The sequence below is a fragment of the Homo sapiens genome, chromosome 1 (assembly GCF_000001405.40).
Source record: "Homo sapiens chromosome 1, GRCh38.p14 Primary Assembly".
Taxonomy (NCBI): Eukaryota; Metazoa; Chordata; class Mammalia; order Primates; family Hominidae; genus Homo; species Homo sapiens.
This window is the reverse complement of record NC_000001.11, coordinates 220,955,465-220,962,487: the sequence shown is the minus strand read 5'-3', so window position 1 is coordinate 220,962,487 and position 7,023 is coordinate 220,955,465.

The window sequence follows — 7,023 nt, the reverse complement described above, 5'->3', positions numbered from 1 at the left end:
TTGAAATGATCTGAATTCCCAGAACATTAGGAACACCTGCATTCCAATGAAATGCAAACATTAATCAAAAACAAATGTAAGGGATTTGGGGCTTGTGTGTCATCCAGACTCTGCTGTTCTCTCTCAGGAGGGATGATTGAGAGATGATTACAAGTTCTTTTTGATGATGCTGCTAAAAACTATTTGAAAAACATCACCCCCTCTCTTCACAAGACAGATTATATTGGGCAACATGAAGTCATGATTACATTGCACTAATTTTAGTTAAGTCAGACATCTTCATGAAAGCATTGCTCATACTTGCCAACCACTGTTGATTGAGTCAAAGTTCACCCAATTCTGGACAAAAGGAGAAACAGTCAGCAACCTTCTGTTCCGGTGAATGAGCTGCTGCTGCAGCTACAGCAAGAGCCAAGCAAACCTCAGGCAGACAGGCCCATTCACTTCTAGAACCCACAAGTTCTGCTACCGTTCTTTGGATATTCCCAAGCCATCTCATTATTTTCTAGCTCCCCTAGTAACATAGTCAAGGTGGAGAAAAGTGCAGCCATGTTTTGGTGACCTTCCCCCCAACCCCTTCAACAAAGAACCTGGTTTCAAGGGCCCCTGATGCTAATACTTTCCTGCCTCATGGTCTGGTCTCTCTAAAATTGAAATGGGTCTTGTTAATTTTCCTCTATGATCTACTTTGAATTACCTTGCAATGCTGGAAAACCTGTAATGTTCCAAGAAAGTGATGCCCCTAGAACTCTTTTAGAACTTCAATTCTAGTTGGACAATTTGGGGAGTAATTTGGATGGTTGGTTGGTTTTTTCATTTGCTATTTATTGGAACTTCTGAGAAGTTTCTAATAGGGTGCTGACTTACCCTATTTCTTACCCTTAATTGATGTGCTGAGAAGTAAAGAGGCTCAAGTTATAATGCTTTGCATTTTATGATGAAGTCCAGTATCTGGCCTTCAAGTAATTTGTGAACGTCAATTCAGACTATTGCCACAATGGGGTACCAAACTATTCTACTGCTATCTCCTCAGCCCAGGAGGCATTCAATCCACAGAAGAATGGAAGCCTCAAATTTATCTTTCCTTCCCTCTGAGGAGAACCACATTTTTGCTCTTTCTGACTTTTCAGTTTTCCAGAAACCTAAAAGAGTAGCTCTGGTATTAAGATTAGATTCCAAATCTCACCTTTGCCATTTATTTACTCTGTGTGTATATGTGTGTGTGTGTGTGTGTGTGTGTGTGTGTGTGTGTGTGTGTGTGCTTGATACTTTGACCACATTCCTTAATTTTTCTGAGCCTCAGTTTCCTCATCTCAAAAATGAGAATAATTACAAAGAGTATTTTTCAGGGTTCCTATGAGGCTCAAATTAGTAAAATAACATGAAACTTCTTTTTTACTGCTAAACTGACCCTACTTGCAGGGGAGAGGGGAGCCTTTAAAAGCTTGATTCTAATCTCACCTGTCAAGGTTGACAAGGCCTTGGTGTTATCAATATTATTTTAAAGACATAAATTGGGACCAGAAGAGCTCATTGAATTTCCTATATTCCTTCAACCAATCTAGAGTAGCATGTGCTAAGAAATGAAAGTGGATAATCAGAGCCAGTCCTTTAGGCGACAAGCATTCTGTACATGTGCTGCACCTATTATATGCCCAGGTCTAGGTTACATTTTCCATGGGAGACACAGGAAGAAGAATCAAGACTCTGATATCTTGTTAAACTCAATCAATTAATCAACCACCCCTTACTGGAATATACTACATGCTCAGCTCTGCCAAGGTGCAGAAAGGCAGACATTCCTGCTCAGTAGCAATTTGACATCTGAATCATTTAATGGCTTCCCTACCTTAAAAAATGGGGCAGAGGTTGGGTATTATAGAGCTAGTAATAAGAGGAGGGAGAAATCCCACTGGAACTGAGGAACCTGGTCTTACCAAAAGTAAACTGGAAAGTCTGTCTTATGCAAGGGACTCTCCGGACAGACAGGATTGTCAGATGTTCTTTAGCTCTGGAGCTTGGTGGCTTTGTTACTTAGTGAGGGGCGATCAGTCTGACACCTGTGCTCAGTCTTGTCTCTCATCATATGATCATCTGGCTGGCTCTGCTCCTCACAATAAACTCCCAAGAAGGAAAATTAGACTGGTCTTCGTCATTGCCAGGACCCATTTGTGGGCAGAGTTCCTCTCACTGGCTCTCTCTGAGGTCTCTGCTTTTGAACTGTCCATCCTGGCTACTGATATTCCAATCAACCAGAACCAGAGGGCCACTTGGCATGCAGTGCCCCTGCTTAAGGAGAAGTCTAGATCTGCTTTCCTCAGCAAGGAAGGTAGATATTTGGTCCAGAAAAAGCTGCCAGCCTGGAATATACCATAATAGTCCTCTTCAGAAAACAACTTCTCTCCCTTTCTCCCTGCCCCTTGCCCTAGCCCTGGCCCACAACACACACCTAAAAAATAGCAAGAGTATTACCAAAAAAAAAGTCCAATAGGCTGGAATAATTGGGAGATATTTTATTAAAGCGCATATAGTGTCACCTGGATAGGGTGACACTAGATAGACCAAGAAGATGAAGATATTTCAGGCAGGTGGAACTGATTAAGACTGGACTTTCAAAATGAGCTTCTGGTTAAGCATAGAACTCCCTTATATAACACATCTGGGACTCAGTGCCTCTGCTTTCAAGTTGAGGACAAAATAGCAAAAGGGAAACTGACCACCTTTTATTCTGTGATGGGATTATTTTCTCTGTTGCTAGATATTGACATATGTGTGTTAATAAGACAGAAGTTTCTTTTCTGGATTCATCCACACTCAAAAGTATGCTTCCCTTATTTAAGTGGTACCTTTTCTCTCTTCGCCTGCTAGTATAATTCTTAAAAAAAAAAAAGAAGAGAAAATAATAATAGCCAGTATTTATAGACAACCTTTGTGCCGATGCTACATTAAGCTCTTTATGTGTATCCTGTCATGTAATCTTCATATACTATGTGTTTTATAAAATGATACTGTACAAAGCCAATTATTAACTTTGCTAAGAGGAAAAAGACTTCCCCAAGGAAGTAATATTTGAATAAAATCTTCAAATATGTCATAGGAGTTCTCCTGGTAATCAAGTCTGGGAAAGACATTCCAGGCAGGGAGATTGAATCGAAGGTATTAGAAAAATTATGGAATGTCCCAGAAAAAAGTAAGTCATTCAGCAAAGTTAGATGATAGGAAGGGATTGAAGTGGGACCAGACAGGCTAGAAGAAGCCAAATTGAGGAGAGATTTATATGTCACAATTTTACCAAAATTAAACAAAAATCCACTGACGTACTTTACAAGGGAAAGTCATTATCAGACCTGCATCATAGAAAAATTATTTGGGGCAGTGCAGTGCATGGATTGATCAGGCATGGAGACTGGAGGTAGACACAGCCAGTTAGGAAATTGTCTTAGTCCATTTTGTGCTGCTGTCACACAATGCCACAGACTGGGTTGTTTATAATGAACAGAAATTTATTTGGCTCACCATTCTGGAGTCTGCAAAGTCCAAGATCAAGAGGTCGAGTCTGATGAAGGTCTTCTTGCTGCATCATCCCACAGCAAAAGGCAGAAGGGCACAAGAGTGCATAAGAAAGAGAGGAAATAGGGCAGAACTCATCCTGCCCTATTTCAGAAATACAATATTTCAGGAATACAAATATCAGGAACCCATTCCTATGACAGTGGCATTCACGAGGGCAGAACACTTATGACCTAATGATCTGTTAAAAGTCCCACCTCTCAGTCAACAGTTCCACCGTTGGATTGAGGATTGAGTTTCTAACACATGAACTTTGGGGATACATTCAAACTTTAGCAGAAACTACTGTTAGTCTACCTGATAGATGATAAAGAATAAAACTGAGGTGAGATTCAGTCAAGAGTTAAGAATAAGATGCCTACCCTCCAGGACTACCCTTAGGGTACCCCAAGACACTACCCTCCAAGGCTTAGAACCAAAGAGGAGAGGAAAATCTGGCAAACAAATGCCAATGGCACCAGGCCATAGATGTGTGAGGCCAAGTGGATCATAGAGATTGTAGGTACTGGGCAAGGTCAGAGGAGAGAAAGCTTCCAGCCTGAGAGCTCCAGCAAAGCTTCCAGAGGAAGTGTACAATGGCCTGAATATTTATGTCCCCATAAAATTTATATGTCAAAATCTTAACCCCCAATAAAATGTGATTAGGAGGTGGATCCTTTGGGAGATAATTAGGTCACGAAGGTGGGGCCCTCAAGCATGAGACCAGTGCCCTTGTGAAAGTAAACCCAGCAGCTCTCTCACCCTCTTTCCACCAAGTGAGGACACTAAGAAGTCTACCATCTGCAACTAGAAAAGGATCCTCGTCAGCACACGACCATGCTGGCACCTTGATTTCAGACTTTCCAGCCTCCAGAACCAAGAGAAATATATGTGTGTTGTTTATCAGCCACCCAGTCTATGTACTTTGTTTTAGCAGCCTGAACTGACAAAGAAAGAATAGTATTTTAGTTTCATACCAACAAATGAGTATGCCTTAATAGAGAGAAATACTGTGAAGATTATTCCAGTTGGGAATAGCAAAACAAAGGCTTTAAGAGTGGAAAGCATGAAGCATGTTGGGAGGTGCCAGAGTGAAATAGACAAAAACACACTCCAAAGACAGTCTCACAGGTCAGAATCCTGAGCAGGGTCTTGTCTGCTTTCCTACTCACCCTGGTAGACCCTCAATGATAACCCCTACCTAGCAGGGGCAGAAGAAATTTTACATTGACTTTATCACCAAAAAAAAAAAAAAAAAAAAAAAACCACAGATAAGGTCTGAACATAATCAAAGGCCTGGAATAGCACCCCAATCAATGACACCCTGAACATGCCAGTGGGACGTTTCATCAAAAGGAGCTGCCATTTCAAATCTCTTGGTTTCTCTAAGCCTGTTCAGTGATCCCTTTTCTAGTTTCTTTGAGCCAAATGGTCCTGCCACTTAGTTCAGTGTCTTATTGTCCTGAGTCATCTTCTCAGATTGCTCAAGAATGAGTCTCCCATTTTAACACACACACGCACACACAGCAAGTCATGGACTGTGGCGGTTTTCTGTGGGTGTGATTGTGTCTAAGTTGCTGGAATGCAACAAGTCTAGCTTGGAAGAAGCTTAGTCCCCATGCCTGCTGGCTCTCTGCATGTTCCCCACCAGAAACACAAGGGCTACAAGCTGAGGGTCCTGTTCTCTCATTTTTTCCACCTCTCTTTATTCACAGGCAGGCCAGAAAGCTATTTAGCAGTAAATGAAGCATTTATCCTTTAATTCTCAGATGTATGTAATCTGAAAAAAAAAAAAAAAAAAAACAGAGAAGAAAATATCCTGAGGACGTCAGAGAGAGAAAAATGTGCAGAGCAGATGCTGCTACTTGTTTTTGTCCCTGTTTTATCTTTTAAAATACATAAAACATGAGTAACTAGGGACAAATAGTTCCAGCTTTTGGTAAAATACAAATGGGACTATTTTATAACTTGGGTTGAATTTCTTATATTTTAAGCTGTTTTGCTACTCAACACACTTCATGGCCTCATAAAATTCTAGAGCAGGAATGGAACTTAGGTGACTTATTCCAGTTCCTGGCCTGTAAGTTGGTAAAAGAGCATCCAGAATAGAAAAAAAAAAAAAAAACCCTTTTTTCTTCTATTCTAAGTTTAGAAAGTCCCCCCTCCCTGCTATGCTAGCCCTATTGTACCATTCAGAAAGTCAAAACGTTTCTCTTATGTACAAATATTCATTCACATGACAATTACCATTAGGTGGCAGAGATGCAAAAACATGACACATGAGTTGTGTTTACACAATTCATGTTACAATATAGTATGGGATACTATAATATAGTTATCCAGAAAGCATGGAAGGGCATGAAGTGGGGGTGGGAGCTAACCAAGACTGAGGATGAAACTTGGTTTAGGGTATACATCATTTTAGCTTAACCAACATCAATATATAACCAAACAGTGTCTGTATCTCATTCTTTAGTTTTAAAAGGTTGTCCCTACAACCTCCTCATTCATTTCATAGCAACCCTATGAGGTAGGTTTTTCTGTTATGTCTGATTTATACATGTGGAAATGGAGGCCAGAGTTTTTAAAAATAGTAGGGGTCTAAATTGGAAACCAAATTCAGTCCTTGGGACTCCAGGTTCCTTGCTCTCTTTTTTCTCTGACTCTGCCTTTCCATTATCTTTTTTTTAAAGGGTAATACTATGTAGCATCTGAGTGCCCCAAATAACTGAAACGGACAATGATTGGTACAGGACTCCCAGAAGGGAGGAATGCCCACATCACAGGCTAACATGTGGTGGTCACAGAAAGATGGGCTTGGTCTGAGCTTTACAGATAGAAAGCAAGACCTTGTTGTTTGGAAGTCAGGGTCAATCAAGAAGAGAAAAAGAATAAACATTAATTCTATATGATAGTGGTTCAAAATGTGGGTTGTGGACTCAGTCAGAAATGATTTCGAGTTCCAGATGTTTCCTTACCTGCGATTTTGTCACTGTTTAGTGACTTTAGGCAATTCATTTAACCATGTAAGCATTAAATGTGATCATGAACATAAAAACATTGATCACAGTAGCTGGTCTATATGAATTCTCAATAAGCAATGGAGATGGCAGTGGTGATGGTGATATCATTGCTAACATCGTCACCATCAACCCCTAACCTCCCAGAGATTCCAGGGAGGGTCCGTCAGGCCACCCTTCCTAACACTGTTACACCACTCACCCCATGGCCTAGTCTACAAGGCTCTTAAGAACATGGCTTCCCATCTACCTCCCCTTTTCTCTTCAGCCCAGTGTCTTCCTCCCATAGAACAGTCATTTCTACAAAACTGCCCTTCCTTCAGTCTTTCTCTGTTTTCCAGAACTTCCTGTGGAATTCACGCCCCTGGAAAGGACAGACCTTCTTCCCAAGAACACAGAAACTGCCTGCTACAATTCTCAGGTGGACCCTCAGCAGGTGGGAGTCAAGGGTGAT